The sequence below is a fragment of the Homo sapiens genome, chromosome 12 (genome assembly GCF_000001405.40).
Source record: "Homo sapiens chromosome 12, GRCh38.p14 Primary Assembly".
In the NCBI taxonomy this organism is placed as follows: Eukaryota; Metazoa; Chordata; class Mammalia; order Primates; family Hominidae; genus Homo; species Homo sapiens.
The window spans coordinates 57055217-57079298 of NC_000012.12; the positions used below are offsets into that span (position 1 = coordinate 57055217).

Here is a 24082-nt window from a genome sequence, read left to right on the forward strand (position 1 = left end):
TATACAGAGCTCTTGGTAGGGATCCCATAGCTGGAGCCATAGGTCTTCTCCCCATCCCAATGGACAAACAAAAGAGATACTTTATGCCATAAAAAAAAAAAAAGAACTAAAATATAATCAGAGTAGTTCCTTGGGCCAAGAATAACCTGTATTTTGCTTTTCTATGAGACAGCATGGTAGTACAACCTGCTGCTCCTGCAAGAATACCCCTTAGAGATTTTGCATCCTGGGAAATCATCCAGTCCAAGGATGAAAGTAGACCAGTACAGACTCGGGACAGGAAGGGGTGGCTAAGAAAAAAAGGGAAATCAGTGGCATGCAAAACCATCTCATTAGAAAGATGAAACTGAGGAGTAAATTGCTGATTACCTGAAAACAAGAAATCCAAACAAGAAAATATTATGTTCATTAAGAAAGACCACAATATATCTATAAAACTTTTATTAAAATTGGAATTAGAAACTATACCAAAAACTTTAAAAATACATTAAGACATTGTTCTTTTTTCTTACAGAAAAGAGGGTGAAAATAAGACCCATGGCAAAGAGCCATCCCTGATAATTTTGTTCCTTTCAAACATTCATGAACATTTAAATAAAATTACAAATATTTAAATAACCCTAAGGTATTACCCACAGGCTAAAACTTGCCAGTAATTCCTTAGCCCTGCTATTTCAATATCAATTCCACAAACATGGAAAATTATGGTAACTGCAGGCTGTAACAGTTTCTAATATTCACATTATGAACTATTTGTTATGTTGTCATAAGAATGTGCTCATGCTATAGGCAAATTCAGAGGTGATTTCACCATTTTCAAATTATCATCAAGAGTGTGAAAGAGGAAGATGACACACACGTGGGATGGTGTGGAAATCCAAAGCCCCACATTTTGGGAGTCTGTGACCACTCCCATCTGCCACTAAAGCTACGAGTTGGTGTTGGCATGAATCTGCTTTGTTTATTCCCAGCAGGCTCTGGCTCGTGTCACATAAGGCACCAACATCCTTTTCAAGGTAGTAACCATCTAGAATCAACTCAATTGTAACCTGAATTCATAAGCTTAAGTCACCAAAAGACATCACTGGGTCATAATTATATAGGTTCCCCTAAAAAAATAAAAAAAAAATCAATTTCTGCTATGTAGAAAAAGAAACAAAAGGTTTAGGTGCCTTTGCCTTGTGCAATGGATATTTCATATGTTTATTAATTGGTTTCAGTTAATATGTAATATGAAGGCATGATAAATGTGTCAAACTGTTCTCTTGTTTCAGATACAATTCTTGGCATTTCAATATAGGTTATTATCTCATATGTCAGACTTGAGTCCAGAGAATACTAGAAGGACATTTAATTTCCTTTCCTCCTCCTTCCTTTCACTACTCAATTCAAAGAAAAGTTATGAGTACACAGCTAGGAACCATTTTTACGTAGGCATCCATCTGAGCCCATCTTGTTTTTTTTTTCTAAAACAACAAAAAGACTAAGGACAATTACATAATGCATTCCCAAGCCTTTTATGGATATCAGGGCCTGGGGGGACTATCTGGCCTATTTGGGTTCTTTCATTCACCAAAATTCTATTATACATGCCAAGGGTTAAAGGGAACACCATCAGTCAAGAGACGGCTGGGCCCTAGAATGGAATCTATTAGCATAAAATGGAACAGTGGGACCCAAAGAGCTATCAGCAAAATTCCCTTTGTAACAGACGTAAAAATCATGAATTTGAGGGGAAAAATAAACTAGTTTTGGTGGGATGCAGTGGCTAACAGGAATTACTTATTAGAAGGTAATGAAGTTGCTAAATTTTCCTTGTTTTTGATCCCTGTGTTCTGTTGGTCTCTTGAAGCAATCTGAGTGGGAAAGGAAAGTGAAAGAAATGTTTTATGCCAGCTGCCTCTTGTATTCCCATTAATGGGAGTCTCTACATTAATGCTCTACATAATTTGGTCAGACTGATGAGAGGCAATAGATTTCCAATGCTGATGAGATCCAGAGCCCTGGAGCCCATTTATGGCTTGACATTCACCCAGCAAGACGCTGACGTGGCAGCAAACACGGCTCCAATGTCCAGCTTACCTCATAGTTATCCCTTCAATCCTTCTTGATGAGATTGGTCTGAGAGATGAGACTGTACTGAAATCACAAGAGCTATAACTGCCAGAGAAAAATTAAATGGGGTCTTCAAGTAGTGACTGAGCCAGCAAACTAAGTGGCCAAGAGGGAGACAAGAGCAGCTCCTAAAGAAGGTTGAAGTCAAGCAATCTCCGGAACACAGAGGATCTGAAGCATCTGGGCAGAGCCACAGGCAGGCAGGGCAAGGACACACAGCACACCAGAGCAGCACCGTCCTTCACTGTGTGAGAGCAACTCTCAGGCTGCAGAACCAATTGCCATCTCCACTGCCTACAGCTCAGGTCTCCAACTACCAGATAGGGAGTAAAAAACAGTTTGATTTTATTCACCTCAAGTCTAAACACGGTGGAAAAAAAACTGGTCTAGAGATGGAAACTATATTTCATGGGGGTTTATTAAACAGAGAAAGAGGAGAATCTTTCACAATTTCACAGTGCTTTCTCATTGAAATAAAGACATGATCAGGAAAAGTCACCCTTATAGGCAAGCTATCACCTCCCTAAGTAGGGGAGGCACCAAAATCTCCAGAGAATCCTGAGACCACTTGCACGAGTTGAATTATTTTTTAAAATAAACTTATGCTTAAATATGCTAGGTCTCAATTTCTATAAATAAGGTAAAAAATAGTATATTTCAGAAGTTTTAATAGTTCTTTGTAGAGAGAGAACATTTTACCATGTACATAATTCACAAGGGTATAAAGGTTTCCCAATGTAAAGTTCCTTTTACCCTTCAACTGTAACCCATAGCATCTGCCCAAATACTGCTCATTTTTCACTTTCTACTATATGTCTCTTTCCTGCCAACTGAGGTAGTTGTCACTTAGGACAGTTTAAGGCTCTGGAAAACACTGGTGGAAATAATCAACTGCCCACCTGGAGGGCAGTCTCAGAGCTGACCCTTTGGAAGTCTGCAATGGAGCTAGGCCTTTCAAAATTACCACGCTAAATGGCTGGTCTAAAGGAGTCATTACGGCTTTTTAAAAAATCATCTGCCTTTTTCCATCATCTTGGTGAGCCAGTAAGTCTGGTGCTGTGCGCTTGCCATGACCATCTATCTTCCTGGCTAAGGTAATTACAGACTTTTCCAGGGTATAAGGGTGAAGACCACAAAGAAAAAGAACCAAGTAAATGACAGACACTTGAGAATTTGCTTCCTCACAGATGACATTGCTGGTTTATAAGGGGTACTTTGCAATGGCAAAAGAATCTGAAACTAATGCTACTGCAATAACAGGCAGCATACATCTCAGGTCAGAAACGCAATCATAAATAAGTGTAAGTTCATGGAAACTTGACAGCTGAATGAGCACCCAGAGGCATGAAGATAACCTGGAGCCTATTTCCTGGCAATGCAAATTGTGGCTGCTGCATAACTACAAATTGTGTATCAAGAAACTACATAGTTTCAAGGCTTAAAAATTACCCAGATTTGGGGGAGTATGGGTGGTGAGAAAAGGCTGAAAGGAATGGACAGAGCATGTAGACAAAGGAAGGGAAAGGAAAAGGAGACAGTTTCCTGATTTCATAGCAACTCAAAGATAACATGACCCAATGACAGGAAAATGGAGAACGTATAAAAAGCATCCAAATCCCCTAAACAAGATGACTTCTCCTAGCTAGCAGGAATAATGCTACTCTGAACATACATAGTTCACAGGTAAGGGAACTGACCCTTCCTGAAAGGGCAAAGGCAGGGTAAGGAAGAATGGGAAGAGAAGAATACAAATGTTTTTTAAGATGGAATTGAAAGTTGAATATAATAAAAAGCCCAGTACATCTCACCTGCAGAAGAGCCTACAGGCATGTTCCTAAAGGCAAATAGGACTTTCTATCATATGTATGAGAACTAAATCAAAGCTTAAAACAACAGCTCCTGGGGCTTTAATGGATAATCCATATTAATAAATATGTAGGGGCCTAGGGGGTGTGTCACTCTGGAGCACTTGCTGGTTCTGGAACATGAGTTTGTTATGTTTTTTAAAAGACATTCATTTAAAAAACAAAACAATAAAAATCTATTTTCCTCCCAAAACAGTTAAATCAATAATTATTCTAAAGTCACTGAAATAAAAGCTGGAGTGAAGGAGGCTCAGATTTGTGGATTTCTCTCTGGAAGTTGCAGCCTATAGTCTAAAAGCATTCCTGCACTTAACAACAGTTCTTACTTTGGAGAGCCAGCCAGTGACAGAAATGCCATGATTGAATCAACTTTCAAGAAGGAGCTAGAATGCCATGCTAGCTGTGGCCATCCAATTTCTCTGGAAACATAAAAGTGGGCTGTTAGCTTAACCAATGGGAAGTGAACTACCCAGCATTCACTACTTTATCCACTCTCCTTCCTCAGGGATCCCATAGAGACCTCCCATTTCCAAAGGGAGGCCTTTTTAGGCCTCTTATTTCAGTAGGAGAATTTCTACCCTATCTATCTCACTCTGTTTCAAAGGGTTGAAAGCAATTGCACAACACATGCAACATGGACCAAGGCACCAAGCCAGTCCACGTAAAGATAACTGACCACTACCTAGGTTAGAAAGTTGTTCTGTGTGATAGCAGGACACCGAGAATATGAGTCCTCCTCCTCAGAGGATGCTTCCTCATAGATTTCATCCTGGGCAATAATGCTCCCTAATCCATACTCCTGCTCATGGACAGAAACTTCATTTGGCGTGAGGTGGGAAGAGCCTTCCACAAAGTCAGCAAATCTGGAAAAGAGAAGATAATACTCGTTAGAAATATCCTTCTGTCCTTTCTGGTCTTCTTTCAAAATAAGAACAAATTAAAGCCCTCGATATGCTCGCAACTCAAATTATATTAAGTCTAGCCAACATCCTTGTCCTTACTCTGGCAGGTAAGTAGACTAAAGCATGAAGTTAAGGAGAAAAGGAAAGCTGGGATCATAGGCTAATACCCCTGCAACTCCATCCTGCTTAATAAGCACTTGCCTATCCTTTCTAATTATGAAAGTGCCAAGGTTCCTTTAGTCATCTGTAATCCTGATAAGAGAAGATTAAGGGGCATTACAGTTATTCACGTTTATGGCCCTGTAAACTTTATGCCATCATGATTCCAAATTGAAGCTTCACATACTCATTGGTACATTTGCCCCCAACTAAAAAGTGGGTAGGGGGGAACCCTACCAACTCAGACAGCAATGCAAAACTTTCAGAAGGGAAACTTAATATGGTACTGGAGTCTTCCCATCTTAATGCTACAATCAAAGCTAGAGTAGATAGTTCCCTGAGGAAACAGGTTACTGCTTAATGTGTGATTATATATCCACCCTTCTCTTGACTACTTGAAGATTAACAGGAAAACAAAGGTCACAAGTGCACGATTCTCTAGAAGTATGATCTCTGGTAGAACTCAAGGTCACAATTACCCTGATAGATGCTTGGTATATCTGGCCGAGTTTACCTTTTTGGAGACTGGATTCGAGAAACAGTCTTCCAAGCAGAGCAGTCTGGACTGTTACAAAATTCTCGGAGCTCCTCTAAAGCCTTTCGGGTTTCTACCTCTCCTTGTATCCGATATTCTTCTTCTGTCAGGAGACGAGGGGGAACAGGCTTTTCTGCTCCCTTACACACCTTTCTGTGCTCACCAAAATAACATTATGAATCATTAATCAGTAATCTATATCCATCCTTACTTCTAGCTCCCTTCAGTGGGCCAAGAATACAGCAGACAGCCTGAACATTAAGAGTCATCACTCCTAAAAATTCCATGGACATCTTTAGTTATAATGAACTCCTGATACATTAGACTATGAGTGACAATTCATAGGCGACAGAGCGAGACTCCATCTCAAAAAAAAAGTGATATAATTTGCACCACCTTGTGGTAACAGGAACACATGACATTTTACTAGACCTTTTTATTTTATATAAAATGACTAGAATAAAAATATAAAAATGCCTATAGAAAGTAAAAAATTATAGTCAATATTATTCACTAATGTGAACAAACTCACTTTATTTTCCAATAAATGATAAAATACTTACTTATTTTCTAGTAGATGGGAAAATAACAGAAAATCATGGTATAAGACTGTGGTTCTAGCCAGGCACAGTGGCTCACGCCTATAATCCCAGCACTTTGGGAGGCCAAGGCAGGCAGATCACCTGAGGTCAGGAGTTGGAGATCAACCTGACCAACACAGAGGAACCCCATCTCTACTAAAAATACAAAATTAGCCAGGCATGGTGGTGCATACCTGTAATCCCAGCTATTCGGGAGGCTGAGGCAGGACAATCGCTTGAACCAGGGAGGCGGAGGTTGCAGTGAGCCGAGATCATGCCATTGCACTCCAGCCTGGGCAACAAGAGCAAAACTCCATCTCAAAAAAAAAAAAAAACAAAAAAAAACGCCGGGCAAGGTGGCTCACACCTGTAATCCCAGCACTTTGGGAGGCCAAGGTGGGCAGATCACAAGGTCAAGATTGAGACTATCCTGGCCAACATAGTGAAACGCCATCTCTACTATAAAAATGCAAAAATTAGCTGGGCATGGTGGCATGTACCTGTAACCCCAGCTACTCAGGAGGCTGAGGCAGGAGAATCGCTTAAACCCAGGAGGCAGAGGTTGCGGTGAGCTGAGATAGCACCACTGCACTCCAGCCTGGTGACAGAGCAAGACTCCATCTCAAAAAAAAAAGATTGTGGTCCAGTAACTTGGTTTCCCAAACTGAAAGCATCACCTTGACTATCTATAATAGACAACTTCAGGACCTAGTAACATTCCATATTTATTATGCAAGGTGACAAAACATGCTATGAATTACATCTTAAAATAAGACTAAGACCTCCAGAGCAATCTGAAAGCCACTGAGAAATAGTCTGAAATGGGCTGGGTGAGGTGGCTCACGCCTATAATCCTAGCACTTTGTGGGGCTGAGGTGGGCAAATCACCTGAGGTCAGGAGTTTGAGACCACCCTGGCCAACATGGTGAAACCACATCTCTATTAAAAATACAAAAATTAGCCAGGCATAGTGGCGCCCACCCGTAGTCCCAACTATTCGGGAGGCTGAGGCAGAAGAATCACTTGAACCCGGGAGGTGGAGGCTGCAGTGAGCCGAGATCACGCCATTGTGCTCCAGCCTGGGTGACAGAGAGAGACTCTGTCTCAAAAAAAAAATCTGAACCCAGGAGACCTCAATGAGCATACGGTATAAAAGCGATACAATTTGTGGCGGGGCGCAGTGGCTCATGTCTGTAATCCCAGCACTTTGTAATCCAAGCACTTTGGGAGCTCCTCAGCACTTTATGAACTCCTGACATTTGAGGTCAGGAGTTCAAGACCAGCCTGGTCAACATGGGGAACCCTACTAAAAATATAAAAATTAGCTGAATGTGGTGGCGCATGCCTGTAATCCCAGCTACTCAGGAGGCTGAGGCAGAAGAATCGTTTGAACCCGGGAGGTGGAGGTTGCAGTGAGCCGAGATCACGCCACTGCACTCCAGCCTGGGCGACAGAGCGAGACTCCATCTCAAAAAAACAGTGATAGAATTTGCACCACCTTGTGGTAACAGGAACACATGACATTTTACTAGACATTTTATATAAAATGACTAGAATAAAAATATAAAAATTCCTATAGAAAGTAAAAAAAAAAAAATAGACTCGGGAAGGAACAAAAGTGGAAGTACAATACAATGACTTTTCATTAACAAAGAAGCTCCCAGGTCAACACCTCTGTATCCTCTTGCTGCAACTGCATCCCACAATGTACCTGTCAATATTAAGTTACATTGCCTTTCAGTCACCTGCAGGTGATGTACAGCCACTGAATAGGGTGTTCCAGGTTCTTAGTACAAAGAGCAATGATGATAATGGCAAGGGCAATATGTGGTATCTGGATGCCAGAATACATGAAACACAGGCCCATCAGCTGCAAGGTCCAGGTCAGCAGGTTGATACTTCGTTCATTCTCCAAGGGCCCATACTTGTAACATACTGCAAAACTCATGAATCCAACTGTGAGGACATAACCTATGAGAAGAGTTATCAGAAGACATTCTTTTTCATCTATACTTGGTAAAAATAATTTGTGTGGGAAGCAGTAGTTAATTTACTATATAGCACCAATTGAACTAGGAAATCAGATTTTTACTTAATTTTTCACACTTTTTTCTTAGAATATATTTCTCTAAGTTTCTATCCTTTCTGCTGTCCCAAATTTATTTGGTTCAAACAGAACATTAAAGGTACATGTTGAACAACCCTGAAATAGACTATTTTAAAAAACCAATATACAGAAATCCAGATTAATCACCCTTCAAAGGATAACTCAAAGGTTACTATCTATATGACCAAGGATTTTTACTTTGTAAATAAAATCTACAGCAGTTCATTCAGAAATGAAGGAGAAAAAAATTAACTGCGGAGTCTTTTACTTAAGGTCCCCAAGTATATTTAAAATATGATTCCATTAATAAAGTCAACTTACAGCTTTTCAGAAAGATGTTTATTGTGTAAAGAAAGGTATATTTATAAATACCAATAAATGAACATCTTCGCCTTAACAGCACCATTCTAATTTAAGAGAAGGTGATAATTGTAGAGGGATTAGAAATAAGTGAAAAACTATGATTTTTAAAAGTTTAAAAAAATGACATGAACTATTAAATCCCATAAGCAGGCAAAATCTTTTCATGATCAAATTAACTGAAACAGCCTATAAACGTACAAAAGGAAAGCAAAACCGACAACACTTACTTAAAAGATACTGCCAGTAACACCTCCAGATCTCTTGTAAATTTTTAAAAACTAGTTGAATGAGGTACAGAGAAAAAGACCAGCCTCCCACCAGGATGACGTAAATGGGACTTTTCTAAGACAGAGAGTAGAAGTGAAAGCAAAAAGTTACAACAGGCTTTCCATACATAAAAGAAGCAAAATGGAACTATGATTTTTTTTTTAAAAAATTCAACCTACTCAAAATGCACAAAAAACACTTCTCTTAAAAAGATGTCCTTTATACTTAAAATGGTACAGTCTGCAACGAACACTGGGAAGATGAAATGCTAAATAACTTAAAAGCCTGGCTATATAATTAAAAAACAGGAAGCAGACTTTAATCCCCCTCTGAGCACAGGATTTTATATAAAAAGAAAGAATTTGTAATCAGGCTCCAAGTTTCATCGTGGAAAGTACCTTTCTGAATCAAGGAGAGTAGGATATTGACTCATCAGCCATCAATACACATTTTCAGTTTTCTAAGATTACCCAGGAAAACAGTCCTTCAGCTATCCAAATTCATTCTAGCTGCACATGAAGATTCTGATACTTACCTTAGGCATAAACTTAGATAGTATAAAAATGATGATTAGCAGAGAGGCCACAATTCCCACAGTCATCCCAGTAGAGTAGTAGAAAATTTGACTTCTGCAGGAAAAAAATGTATTTCATGACCATATGTATATATTTCATACATAGCACTGTTGAAACTAGGACAACTAACCCAGCCGAAAGATTTTAAAAGGTACAAGATTAGAGCAGTACAAGCATCAGAGACATTTCAAATTTGGTTCCAGACCACTGCAATAAACCAAATATTGCAATTGCAGTAAGTAAGTCACACAAATTTTTTGGTTTCCCACTGCATATAAAAATTGTTTACACTATATTATAGTATATTAAGTGTACAACAGCATTATGTCTTAAAAATATATATTCCTTAATTAAAAATACTTTGCTAAAACCTGCTAAAGATCATCTACGCCTTCAGTGAGTCATCATTTTTTTTGCTGGTGGAGGGTCTCACTTCCATGTTGATGGCTGTTGACTGATGAAGGCAGTGGTTTCTGAAGGCTGGAGTGGCTGTGGCAATTTCTTAAAATATAATGAAGTTTGCTGCATTGACTCATCCTTTCAATGAAGATTTCTCTAAAGCATGCAATACTGTCTGATAGCATTTTACCACAACTTCTTTCAAAACTGGAGTCAATCCTCCAACAGCATTAACCCTTAACAAGAGGATCACCCCTCCTTTGAAGCTAGGCACTGACTTCTCTCTCGCTATCAAAGTCCTCAATGGCATCTTCTTCTAGTATAAGGCTATTTTGTCTACACTGAGGAGCTCTTTAATTGTAGCCACTTTCAACAATGATGTTAGCTAGATCTTCTGAATAACTTGCTACAGCTTCTATATCAGTGCTTGGTTCATCTTTTTTTTTTTTTTTTTTGAGACAAAGTCTCACTCTGTTGCCCAAGCTGGGGTGCGATGGCGTCATCATGGCTCACTGCAGCCTTGATCTACTGGGCCCAGGTGATTCTCCCACCTCAGCCTCCCGAGTAGCTGGTACCATGACTTTTTTGTATTTTTTGTAAAGGCAGGGTTTCACCATGTTGCTCAGGCTGGTCTCGAACTCCCTGGGCTCAAGTGATCTGCCCGCCTCAGCCTCCCAAAGTGCTGGGACTACAGGCCTGAGCCACCACGCCTAGCCTACCTTGCACTTATGTAATAAGACAGCTTCTTTCCTTAAATCTCATGAACCAAGAACCTTCACTAGCTGTAAACTTTTCTTCTGAGGCTTCCTCACCTCTCACCCTTCACAGAATTGAAGACAGTTAGGGTCTTGCTCTGGATCAGCCTTTAGCTTTAAAAAAGTTGTATCTGGCCGGGCATGGTGGCTCAAGCCTGTAATCCCAGCACTTTGGGAGGCTGAGATGGGAGGATCACGAGGTCCGGAGATCGAGACCATCCTGGTTAACACGGTGAAACCCTGTCTCTACTAAAAATACAAAAAAATTAGCTGGGTGTGGTGGCAGGCGCCTATAGTCCCAGCTACTAGGGAGGCTGAGGCAGGAGAATGGCATGAACCTGGGAGGCGGAGCTTGCAGTGAGCCGAGATCACGCCACTGCACTCCAGCCTGGGCAAGAGAGCAAGACTCTGTCTCAAAAAAACAAACAAACAAACAAAAAAAGAGTTGTATCTGGTTTAATCTTCTCAACAGCCAACTAAAACTCTCTCCATATCAGCAATAAGGCTGTTTCACTTTCTTATCACTTGTGTGTTCCCTGGAGTAGCACTTTTAATTTCCTTCAAGAACTTTCCCTTTGCACTCACAACTTGGCTAACTGCTCAGGACAAGAGGTCTAGCTTTCGGTCTGTCTTGGCTTTTGCTGTTCTCACTAAGCATAATCAGAGAGATGTATGACTCTTCCTTTCAGTTGAAGACTCACAATCTACTCTAGGGTTATTAATTGGCCTAGTTTCAATATTGCTGTTTCTCAGGGAATAGGGAGGCCCAAGAAGAAGGGAGACGGGAATAACCAATTGGTTGAGTTGTTAGAACACCCATGACATTTATCGATGAAGTTCACTGTCTAATATGGTTTGGCTGTGTCCCCACCCAAATCTCATCTTGAATTGTAGCTCCCATCATTCCCACGTGTTGTAGGAGGGAACTGGTGGGAGATAATTGAATCATGGGGGCAGTTGCCCTCATACTGTTCTCATGGTAGTGAATAAGTCTCATGAGATCTGATGGTTTTATAAGGGGTTTCCACTTTCACTTGGTTCTCATTCTCTCTTGCCTGCTGCCATGTAAGATGTGCCTTTTGCATTCTGCCATGATTATGAGGCCTCCCCAGCCACCAGGAACTGTGAGTCCATTAAACTTCTTTTTCTTTATAAATTATCCAGTCTTGGGTATCTTTATCAACAGTATGAAAATGAACTAATAGGCTGGGCGCAGTGGCTCACGCCTGTAATCCCAGCACTTTGGGAGGCTGAGGCAGGCAGATCATGAGGTCAGGAGATCGAGACCATCCTGGCTAACACGGTGAAACCCGTCTCTACTAAAAATACAAAAAATTAGCTGCACGTGGTGGCAGGTGCCTGTAGTCCCAGCTACTCGGGAGGCTGAGGCAGGAGAATGGCATGAACCCGGAAGGTGGAGCTTGCAGTGAGCCGAGATCGCGTCACTACACTCCAGCCTGGGCGACAGAGCGAGACTCTGTCTCAAAAAAAAAAAAAAGAAAATGAACTAATATACTGTCTTACATGGACATGTGGTGCCCCAAAATAATTGCAACAGCAGCATCAAAGATCACTGATTATGGATCACCATAACAGTTATAATCATATGAAAAAGTTTGAAATATTATAATTACTAAAATGTGACACACAGACCCCAAGTGAGCACATGCTGTTGGGAAAACGGTGTGATAGATTTGCTTGACCCAGGGTTGCCACGAACCTTCAATTTGGAAAGAAATGCACTATCTGTGAACCACAAAAAAGTGAAGTACAATAAAGTGATGTGTGACTATATTTGCCCAAAACTTGAGGTCAGAGAACTGTAGAGACTGATGCTATGTAGTTACTGCCAGATTATGAAGATTAGGATTAAAGGTCTTCCCTCATGTATTTCCCAATAATCAGCCTTTACGTAATGTCCTATTCACATCCCCATCATCTCTCCCGACCTGAATATTATTATTTTGTCACCCAGGCTGGAGTGCAGTGGTGCAATCACGGATCACTGCAGCCTCAACCTCCTGGGCTCAAGTGATCCTCCTACCTCAGACTCCCAAGTAGCTGGGACTACTGGCATGCACAACCATGCCTGGCTAATTTTTGTATTTTTTTGTAGAGGCAGGGTCTCACTATGTTACCTAGGCTGGTCTCAAACTCTTGGGCTCAAGTTATCCTCCCCCTTCAGCCTCCCAAAGTGCTAGGATTACAGGGGTGAGCCACCACAACCAGCCCCCCATTCCAGATTTTTTCTACCAGTTATTCCTCCCTGTTTCTCTCAGCATCACCAAAATAACAACTTCCAGCAACCCCACTCCAGCCCAACTTCAAACTCCAATTGTTAATCTTGCATTCACTACTCCACAAATACTTTTTACTTGTATACAAACTTAATGTTGATTTTACCTTCATTCAATGTTTATTTAGTTACCTATATATTTTCTTCATATTTGTACATGTCAGTCTCACCTGTCTTAACTAGTAGGTTCCTAAAGGAAAAAATGAATAAACACTTGATTTTTTTTTTTTTTTTTAAACAGGGTCTCCCTCTGTGGCCCAGGTTGAAGTACAGTGGTGTGATCTTGGCTCACCGCAACCTCCGCCTCCAGGCTCAAGCGGTTCTCGTGCCTTAGCCTCTCGAGTAACTGGGATCACAGGCACATACCACCACGTCCAGCTAATTTTTGTATAGACAGGGTTTTGCCATGTTGCCCAGGCTGAGCTGTGATATTTGTTTCCTTTTTTTTGAGATGGAGTCTTGCTCTGTTGCCCAGGCTGGAGCACAGTGGCACGATCTCGGCTCACTGCAAGCTCCACCTCCTGGGTTCACGCCATTCTCCTGCCTCAGCCTCACAAGTAGCTGGGACTACAGGCGCCCGCCACCACGCCTGGCTAATTTTTTTGCATTTTCAGTAGAGATGGGGTTTCACCGTGTTAGCCAGGATGGTCTCGATCTCCTGACCTCATGATCCGCCAGCCTTGGCCTCCCAAAGTGCTGTGATTACAGGCGTGAGCCACCGTACCCAGAAGCTATTTGTTTCTTTACGTCTGAACAAAATGAAACTCATCAACCCATGGACCTGTAAAGATGACACCTTAACACATTACTTCTAGCAATAGAAAGGGTGATGATGTTCCATTTCATTGTATTGGCTAACTCCTATCAACCTAATGATGGGCCAACCTAATGTGGGAATTTCACTATTGTCAACATTGTTCAAATAAGAAAAAACAAAAATCATAATACACATTAAAGTATTTTTTTAAATATCCAAGCAGGCAACGGCCAAGCCATAAAGGTCCTGGAAATGGGAATGGCAGTACTTAATAGTTACTATAAAACGCAGGCAGGATAGGTATGAGCCGTTTCATTCTGCACACTAGCCTTGGAACCTACCTGCTCAGCAAGTCTCCACAAAAAAATAGCATAAGTCCAAGAAGGAAAACAAGAAAGAGTTTGGGATCAAATCCTGAAATAAATAAAGATTTTTGCTTAATAAGGGAACAAAACTGCTTAAGGTATTATAGAATAAAAGACAACGTTGGCACTATTGGTCAGCTACAGTAAAAATAAATGCAAACAGCCCACCTAAAAAGCATTTAAATTTCACCTAAAGCCTGGGCACCCTTCCAATGTATAATTAGGTCTCTGTCTAACCTGTATTTGCCTGAAGATCTTACTTTTACTTAGGCTACCTATGCTAAGGTTAAAAGAAACTCAAGCTTCGTTTTGGACAAAGCTAGACACAGTACCATCAGCAATTCATGCAATCACCCACAAGGGGTCTCTATCACTCTGGCTTTCAAGCTTTAAGTCACTCACAGTCATGGAACTCAGCAGATTTGCCCAGAACTGTGGGTCAGGGCCTTGTGTTGTTCTCTAACTGGCTGCTTTTCTTGCCCAACAATACCACCTACTTCCCTTTGCTACAGAACACTGTGCTGGAAAAGCCTACACGCAAATACCTCTCACTCAGGACCAGGGGGCCCTAGCAAAGGCCCCTTAGTGGCATACCAGATACTCCCACAGCTTTCACATTCAAGAGTTCTACGGGAGGCCCACAAACAGAACAGGAGCAGAAGGAATCAGTAACTGTAGAAGGAACGTCAAAAAACAAGCCAACCCTACGTAACCAAAGAACCCTAGGACAAATGGAAGGGCACAACCTATTTCATACTAAACCTAGAAACATTTCTACTACTTACAACATCCCAGGACCCTGTGTAGTAACCAAGGGGAAACAAAGTCAGAGAGAATTCAACAGGATCCATCTCCCCTGAAACTTTCTCAGTCATCTTCAGAAAAGAGAAAACTTCTCCCAGTTCCACTGAATAAGTTTTAAACTGCAGTGGTCTTCATCTTTATTTATGGTTCCATGAATACTCTTTTTACTTGTGAATGATTTTCAATTTTACCTTTCTTCAATTTTTATTAACCATTCACGTCTTTAAATGTAGGCATGTACACATCAGACAGTTACCTTTGTCTAGAAGTGTCCAGAAGGTAGAACACGTCTATCTGATTTACTCTAAGAGTATTTGGCATATATGCTCAGGGACATTAGCAGCACAATGTAATTGGGAATAAAAGAATAAAAGTCTTCACAGTTCCAGGTAAGGAGGTACTCAGAATTTCCTGAGGTGGAGTTTCAATTCTAGGCCTGTCTGATAGGGGTGAAGTCTCCATGAACTGTTTAGAGCAGTGGTATACTCAGGGTTATAATCAGAACCCAACTGGAGCTGTCTTAGGCTGACTTCTCAGTCTCACTAATTATACCCTTCAGAACTCAGTCCTTATCACTACAGAATCCATCAGAAAAACAGAGGTGAGACTTACTCCGGATCACAATGACACTGTACTTGGTGTCCTTCTCTATAATCTCAACTTTGAGGCAGGTTTTTGTGCTGTATAGACCCACGTTAACATAGGTGTCATTCAATTTCTCTTTTAAAAAGGAGGAAAAAAAGTTCCAGATACTAAACTGCTCTAGCTCCTTCAGTTTCTCCTCATTCTCCACCTGGGTGACTCGAACCAATCTGGAACTATTTACTCGGATCTGTAACACAAATAAAATCAGGATGAGAAAAAAGGAAGTAGGAATTTTAATTTTTCACAAATACAATTTTTTAAAAAACCCTCAGACTAACAACCAAATCAGTAATGGTGCCAGTTTTCCACAAAGCTTATCAGAAATATAGAAATACAGTGGCTAAAACATAATTGGGCAAATAACACTGCACATGTTACAGAGAGACAGCTGTTAGAATACCTTCTTGTTAACATGATCTGAATCTACTATTAGGGCAGAACATAGAGGGAAAAAAGACTTCCAAACTGAAAGAGTTATCAATACAGCTATTTATTAGAGATCACACAAAGCAAAGGTCTATAATATTAAGAAAATTGCCAGGCATAAACTGCCCCAGAAAACTAAAAATGTTTTCCGTAATGACAGGCTGAGTTCAATCCATTGTCACAAGCCACTGATTATGAGTAAATGTTGGTTATAATGTGCCCCAGATGGAGTATCACTTTTTTATCAGATAATTTTTTTTTTTGAGATGGAGTCTCGCTCTGTCGCCCAAGCTGGAGTGCAGTGACATGACTTCAGCTCACTGCAACCGCCACCTCCTGGATTCAAGCGATTCTTCTGCCTCAGCCTCCTGAGTAGCTGGGACTACAGGGTGTGCGCCACCATGCCCAGTTAATTTTTGTATTTTTAGTAGAGACGGGGTTTCACCATATTGGCCAGGCTGGTCTCGAACTCCTGACCTCAAGTGATTTGCCCGCCTCAGCCTCCCAAAGTGCTGAGATTACAGGCATGAGCCACTGCGCCCGGCTTGTCAGACATTTTTTTTAAAGAATTTTTTTTAAAAATCCACAAGTTGGCTGGGCATGGCCCCCAGCTACTCAAGAGGCAGAGGTTGCAGGGAGCCGAGGTCGTGCCACTGCACTCCAGCCTGGGTGACTGAGCGAGACTCCGTCTCAAAAAAAAAAAACAAATCCACAAGTCCACCCTTATGTTTTTGATGTGAACAACAAATGTCCTTATCAGTAACTATGCTTATAACAACTACGACATTTCTGAAAGGACCTATTTTGTACAATCACTGTTACAGCCAGACATTCCTGTTTGCCAGGTGACTTAACAGTGTTATGAAATAAATGAGACCAAAGTAATTCTTCAGCTCGGGGGTTTATGAAATATCTCATATAGAATCAGAATAGGAACAGTGGGGCAAAAGAGTTTACATCCTCACAGGCACATAACAGTTTCCAGCCCAAAGAAGGCATAAGGCCTTTAAAAAGAAAGAAGGGGGCTGGGTGCGATAGCTCATGCCTATAATCCCAACACCTTGGGAGGCCAAGGTGGGCAGATCACCTGAGGGCAGGAGTTTCAGACCAGCCTGGCCAACATGATGAAACCCCATCTCTACAAAAAATACAAAAAAATTGGTCAGGTGTGGTGGCGTATGCCTGTAATCCCAGCTACTTGGGAGGCTGAGGCAGGAGAATCGCTTGAACCCGGGAGGCAGAGATTGCAGTGAGCCAAGATGGTGCCACTGCACTCCAGCCTGGGCGACAGAGGGAGACTCTGCCTCAAAAAATAAAAAATAAAAATAAAAAAAGAAAGAGGGGTATGTGTGCGTGCACACACACATACTGCAAAATGAAGGACAAGAAAACAAAGCAGTTTCTTTGGGAAAAGGAGGGAGGAGGAAAGAAGTTTACCTTAGAATACCGTAATCTACTTGAGGGAGCAGAGAGGAATACAAAGTAGGCATAAATGCTTATTGATGAAAACACAACTCAGGATAATCTCAACCCTAACAAGATTGTTAACAACATTTTTTTTAAGCATGTGAAGGGGAAGAAAGTGTCAAAATACTCACTAATCACCAACAGAAATTTACAGAAGCTGCCACTGCCAGAGGATTCCAAGTTATTACCTGTATCCGTGTCCATATATCATGCCATTTTGGGATAAGCACATTTGTGTAACAGAATTGTTGGCTGGCACGCTTTTCACAAACTTGGGATTCCTGAAGCATGACCACATTTACATCAGTTTCAGCTTTATGCAAAGAAAGGAAACAAGAATTAAACATAACAAGCTAATAACTATAACTCATTTCATGAAAAAGATTAAACTAACCATTTTCCTAAACTTTGGGTTAAAACATTAGCCAGACTGAGAAATAAGAAAAAAAACTGAGAAGAAGGAAGAACTAAGGCAGAATCTTATTTCTGTCGTTTAATTATTTAAATATTACACAGTCATTCAGTCAGAAAAGTAATAATAAAAACTACTATTAAGTATCTATTTTTTTTTTTTTTTGAGACAGTCTCGCTCTTTTGCCCAGGCCGGACTGCAGTGGGGCTATCTTGGTTCACTGCAAGCTCCGCCCCCTGGGTTCACGCCATTCTCCTGCCTCAGCCTGTAGCTGGGACTACAGGCGCCCGCCACCGTGCCCGGCTAATTTTTTTTTTTGTATTAAGTATCTATTAAGACAGTATGCTGCCAGGCGCGGTGGCTCATGCCTGTAATCCCAGCACTTTGGGAGGCTGAGGTGGGCGGATGACCTGAGGTCAGAAGTTTGAGATCAGCCTGACCAATATGGAGAAACCCCCCCGTCTCTACTAAAATACAAAAACATTAGCCAGGCGTGGTGGCACATGCCTGTAATCCCAGCTACTCGAGAGGCTGAGGCAGGAGAATCACTTGAACTTGGGAGGCGGAGGTTGAGGTGAGCCGAGATCACGCCATTGCACCCCAGCCTGGGCAAAAAGAGCAAAACTCTGTCTCAAAAAAATAAAAAATAAATACATAAATAAAAGAGACAGTATGCTGTCTCATTTAATGCTCCCAACAATGCTATGAGGTAAGCACTCTCATAATCCCTATTTTATAAATGAGGAACTGATGTTTAAGAAAGATTAAGTAATTTGCTCCAAAATCACACAAATAGTAAATAGCCTATCTGAGATTCACCCCCAGGTCTGACTATGGTCTTAAACACTAGATATACTTCCTGTCCTATAAAGGAATAAAGTAAGCTAAACTACTCCATCTGTTGATTTTCTCTATCCCTTTCCTGAGTAGAACAGAATTGGCAGGTTTTTTATTTTATTTTTTTATTTTTTTTTTGAGACAGGGTCTGGCTCTGCTGCTCAGGCTGGAGTACAGTAATGTGATCATAGCTCATTGCAGCCTCAAACTCTTGGGCTCAAACAATCCTCCCACTTCAGCCTCCCAAGTAGCCAGGACTACAGGTATACACCACCACACCCAGCTAGTTTTTTTTTTTTTTAAAGAGACAAGGTCTTACTATGTTGCCCAGGCTGGTCTTGAACTCCTGGCCTAAAGCAATCCTCCCACATTGGCCTCCCAAAGCACCCACGCTGACCTCCCAAAGCACTGGGATTACAGATCTGCCACCATGCCCAGCCAGCATTTTTTTTTTTTTTTTTCAGACAGGGTCTCACTCTGTCACCCAGGCTGGAATACAGTGGTGCGATCTTGGCTCACTGCAACCTCTGCCTCCCAGGTTCCAGCGATTCTCCCACCTCAGCCTCCTGAGTAGCTGGCATTACAGGCATGAGCCAACTCAATTGGCTAACTTTTTTTGTGTGTGTGTATTTTTGTAGTAGAGATGGGGTTTCACCATGTTGGCCAGACTGATCTAGAACTCCTGGCCTCAACTGATCCACCCACCTCAGCCTCCCAAAGTGCTGGGATTACAGGCGTAAGCCACCACGCCCAGCCAGCAATATTTTTAATATATAGTACTTTTGGAGGATACTAAAAGATTTCAAGGTTGTTTCCTTCCAGCTGTTTTGTGTCACTTCAAATTTTAACAGCAGGCAATGATTACATGCAGTCCCTCTGATTTACCAAAACAGAAGATTCTCCTCTCAATTTGTATTTAATATCAGCTAATTCAAGATTTAAAAGTGACCACTGTCCAGCCGGGCATGGTGGCTCACACCTGAAATCCCAGCACTTGGGGAGGCCAAGGCAGACGGATCACTTGAGGTCAGGAGTTCAAAACCAGCCTGGCCAACATGGTGAAACCCCGTCTCTACTACAAATACAAAAAAATCAGCTGGGCATGGTGGCGGGCACCTGTAATCGCAGCTTCTTGGGAGGCTGAGGCAGAAGAATCGCTTGAACCTGGGAGGGGAGACTGCAGTGAGCCGAGATCGCGCCTCTGCACTCCAGCCTGGGTGACAGAGCAAGACTACGTCTCAAAAAAATAAATAAGGGGCTGGGCGCCGTGGCTCACACCTGTAATCCCACCACTTTGGGAGGCCGAGGCAGGTGGATCACCAGGTCAGCAGATTGAAACCATCCTGGCTAACAAGGTGAAACCCCATCTCTACTAAAAGCACAAAAAAAATTAGCTGGGTACGGTGGCGGGCGCCTGTAGTCCCAGCTACTTGGGAGGCTGAGGCAGGAGAATGGCATGAACCCGGGAAGTGGAGCTTGCAGTGAGCCAAGATCACACCACTGCACTCCAGCCTGGGCGACAGAGCAAGACTCCATTTCAATATAAATAAATAAATAAATAAATAAATAAATAAATAAATAAATAGTTGGGAGCCAAGATCACACCACTGCACTCCGGCCTGGGCGACAGAGCAAGACTCCATCTCAATATCAATAAATAAATAAATAAATAAATAAATAAATAAATAGTTGGGCCCAGGCGTGGTGGCTCACGCCTGTAGTCCCAGGACTTTGGGAAGCCAAGGTGAGGGGATTGCCTGACCTCAGGAGTTTGAGACCAGCCTGGCCAACATGATGAAACCCCATCTCTACAAAAAAAAAAAGAAAAAAAAATAAGGCCAGGCACGGTGGCTCACACCTGTAATCCCAGCACTTTGGGAGGCTGAGGCGGGCAGATCATTTGAGGTCAGGAGTTTGAGACCAGCCTGGCCAACATGGCGAAATCCCACTCTACTAAAAATACAAAAAAATTACCCGGGCATGGTGGCACACACCTGTAATCCCAGCACTTTGGGAGGCTGAGGCGGGCAGATCACTTGAGGTCAGGAGTTTGAGACCAGCCTGGCCAACATGGCGAAATCCCACTCTACTAAAAATACAAAAAAATTACCCGGGCATGGTGGCACACACCTGTAATCCCAGCTACTCGGGAGGGTGAGGTAGGAGAATCGCTTGAACCTAGGTGGCCGAGATGGCACCACTGCACTCCAGCCTGGGCAACAGAGCAAGACTCCATCTCAAAAAAATAAATAAATAAATAAATAAAAATGTATACACAAAGATGTTCACAAACTTACAACAATGAAAAACTAGAAATACCACAAATATCCAACCAACAGTACAAACCACCAATATCCAACCAAATGTTTAATCCACAACATTAATAATGATTTTTACCAGGCAGATGGCACGTGCCTGTAGTCCCAGCTACTTGGGGAGACCGAGGTGGGAAGTTACAGTGAGCTATGATTGTGCACTGCACTCTAGCCTGGGTGTCACAGCAAAACCACGTCACTAAAAAATAATAAATGAAGGCCAGGCATGGTGGCTCACGCCTGTAATCCCAGTACTTTGGTAGGCTGAGGCGGGCGGAACACCTGAGGTCAGGAGTTCGAGACCAACCTAGCCAACATGGTGAAACCCCATCTCTACTAAAAATACAAAATTAGCTGAGTGTGGCTGGGCGTGGTGGCTCACGCCTGTAATCCCAGCACTTTGGGAGGCTGAGGTGGGCAGATCACGAGGTCAGGAGTTTGAGACCAGCCTGGCCAGCCTGGTGAAACCCCGTCTGTACAAAAAATACAAAAAGTTAGCCAGGCATGGTGGCATGCGCCTATAATCCCAGCTACTCGGGAGGCAGAGGGAGAAGTGCTTGAACTCTGGAGGCTGAGGTTGCAGTGAGCCTAGATAGTGCCATTGCACTCCAGCCTAGGCAACGAGGGCGAAACTCTGTCTCAAAAAAAAAAAAATTAGCCGAGTGTGGTGGCACATGCCTGTAGTCCCAGCTACTTGGGAGGCTGAGATGGGAGAATGGCTTGAAACAGGAACCGAGATTGCACCACTGCACTCCAGCCTGGGCCAGACAGCAAGACTACATTCTGCGGGGCGGGGCGGGCGGGGGGTGGAGAAAAAAAATTAAATGAACATCTGCACATACATTGGAATGTAATACAAGTAAGACAACATTTACAAAGAATTTTAAGGCCGGGTGTGGAGGCTCATGCCTGTAATCCCAGCACTTTGGGAGGCCGAGGCGGGCGGATCACGAGGTCAGGAGATCAAGACCATCCTGGCTAACACGGTGAAACCCCCTCTCTACTAAAAATACAAAAAATTAGCCGGGCGTGGTGGTGGGCGCCTGTAGTCCCAGCTACTCGGGAGGCTGAGGCAGGAGAATGGCGTGAACCTGGGAGGCGGAGCTTGCAGTGAGCCGAGATCTGGCCACTGCACTCCAGCCTGCGCGAAAGAGGGAGACTCTGTTTAAAAAAAAAAAAAAAAAATTAGCCGGGCGTGGTGGCGGGCAAGTGTAATCCCAGCTACTCAGGAGGCTGAGGCAGGAGAATCATTTAAACCCAGGAGGCGGAGGTTGCAGTGAGCTGAGATTGCACCACTGCACTCCAGCCTGGGCAACAAGAGCAAAACTCCATCTCAAACAAACAAACAAACAAAAAAACAAAAAAAGAATTTTAAATTACTTGGGAAAATTATTGTACTACAAAATCAAACGAGAAAACTATCTCTGGTAACGACTGGCAGCCTCCAGGGAAGAGAACTAGAGTACTAACTGGATACAAATTATCAATTCATAAAAAATTAAAAATATGTGGAAAAAGATCAGAAGAAAGTGTGCTAAAATAGATTGCTTCTGAATGGATTAACAGTGTGGTTTCTGCCTGCTTCTTTATACTTAATTGTACCTTGCCAAATCATCTAAAATAAACATGCATTATTTGGCCGGTCACGGTGGCTCACACCTGTAATCCCAGCACTTTGGGAGGGCCAAGGCGGATGGATCACGAGGTCAGGAGTTCGAGACCACCCTGGCCAACATAGTGAAACCCCATTTCTACTAAAAATACAAAAATTAGCCGGGCGCGGTGGCGGGTGCCTGTAATCCCAGCTACTCCGGAGGCTGAAGCAGGAGAATTGCTTGAACCCAGGAGGCGGAGGTTGCAGTGAGCGAGATCGCACCACTGCACTCCAGCCTGAGTGACAGAGCTAGACTCCATCTCGCGGGCCGGGGGCGGTAAGGAATCAAGGTTTTACAAGAGCAGAAGATAGTAGAGATCACTGCATTTCTGTCAACTACATCCGTTCTGCCACCCGTGCCCTGCGTCCTGACAGAGCATACGCTCAGATGGTGTTTGCTGATTTGCCGAATGAATGAGATGGTCCCTTTCCCGCGGCTGCTCTGCCTGCCCAGAATGGTCCCCAGGTTTTCTCGCTTTTAACCAAGAAACTCAAGGCTTCTGCAACGAGACACAGCCCCCAGGACTGCTTCTCAACCAGTCTAGGCCTCCCTTCCTGTCTCCGCCAAAAGGCTTCAGGCTCCTCCCCACTCTGGAAGCTGCCCCAGCCCGCTTCAGGGCCCAGACCCTCAGTCCCGACGCCCACTAGCCTGCCAAGTTTCTTCCACCACACTACGCCGGCGGCCCTCGGTAGAGCCACCGCCCTTCTGCAGAGTAACGGCCCGCGCCCTCGGGACAATCCCTTTTCCAAAAATAACCCCCTCGGCACCTGCCCCCTTGGCAGCTGCTGCCCGGGCGGTACCTGTGCCGTAGACCAAGCAGCCGGAGAGGATCAAGAGTAGCCGCACTGTCCCACCGCCCCCGACTCCCGAGCCCCAGGGCCCGGGACCAACTGCCGGCGAGACCGCCACTTTCATTCCTCCCGCCATGGTTGCCTCAAGCCACCTCCTCCTCACGTGCCTTACCCCAGCAACTAACTCCGAACGGGCAACGACAGCAGCCTATCCTCTACGAAACCCGCCCCTATCAACCAATGGGATGGGCAGGGCTTCGAGCACCCAGCCCTCCAAGGGCCCTATGAGTCCCGCCCCTTAGCAACTGAAGAGAGAGGGCGGGAAAAGCAGCTTTCAGCCTATTGGAAAATGGGTTCTCACCCTAGCAGTGGCGACAGGAAGATCCCACCCCGCTAACAACATGCTTCCGTCTTCAGTTTATTTACAACTGGTGTGATTGATGGTAAGTTTAACCAATAGAAAATCGGAATGGGAGAGGCCTCCTTGACCAAACTCGGTATTTCCATAGAAGCTGTCTGAAGTTCCTTCCGTTTTCTTTCGGTTACTTTTTATCACGACCTTTCTGTTATGAGACGCCTACAATTGAGATCGCTTTATGAGTAGGACCCTGATAGGACGATTTTTAAAGTCGACTGACAAAAGTGTGGTTCTCCAAAGTCCTAAAGGATTTAAAATAGAAGTCACAAAA

General features: G+C 43.0%; 1 protein-coding gene across 9 annotated transcripts in view, besides 3 other annotated features; it reads right to left on the reverse strand.

Annotated features, from left to right (window-relative positions):
• The window catches only part of NEMP1 (nuclear envelope integral membrane protein 1), a 32985-nt gene continuing 9329 nt past the window's right edge, over positions 427-24082 (reverse strand). For 3 of the 9 annotated variants that reach the window (XM_011538056.3, XM_024448900.1, XM_047428587.1), the window contains 8 exons: positions 17572-17696; positions 15458-15677; positions 14018-14090; positions 9430-9523; positions 8855-8969; positions 7903-8128; positions 5556-5729; positions 427-4843 (listed from right to left, as the gene is read on the reverse strand). In XM_011538056.3, coding sequence (XP_011536358.1) covers positions 4663-4843; positions 5556-5729; positions 7903-8128; positions 8855-8969; positions 9430-9523; positions 14018-14090; positions 15458-15677; positions 17572-17696 — 1208 coding nt within the window. In that variant the 3' untranslated portion in view covers positions 427-4662. Of the gene's footprint in view, positions 4844-5555; positions 5730-7902; positions 8129-8854; positions 8970-9429; positions 9524-14017; positions 14091-15457; positions 15678-17571; positions 17697-23402; positions 23576-24082 lie in introns of those variants that run through there. The other 6 variants (NM_001130963.2, NM_015257.3, XM_011538058.4 and 3 more) reach the window with 6 other exon arrangements.
• Positions 14665-14734: an enhancer, noted in NCBI's record as "active region_6522". NCBI's record gives its function as "activates an Ori minimal core promoter by ATAC-STARR-seq in GM12878 lymphoblastoid cells {active_cell/tissue: GM12878}" and the evidence as "EXISTENCE:reporter gene assay evidence [ECO:0000049][PMID:35858748]".
• Positions 23130-23379: an enhancer, noted in NCBI's record as "active region_6523". NCBI's record gives its function as "activates an Ori minimal core promoter by ATAC-STARR-seq in GM12878 lymphoblastoid cells {active_cell/tissue: GM12878}" and the evidence as "EXISTENCE:reporter gene assay evidence [ECO:0000049][PMID:35858748]".
• Positions 23500-23549: an enhancer, noted in NCBI's record as "active region_6524". NCBI's record gives its function as "activates an Ori minimal core promoter by ATAC-STARR-seq in GM12878 lymphoblastoid cells {active_cell/tissue: GM12878}" and the evidence as "EXISTENCE:reporter gene assay evidence [ECO:0000049][PMID:35858748]".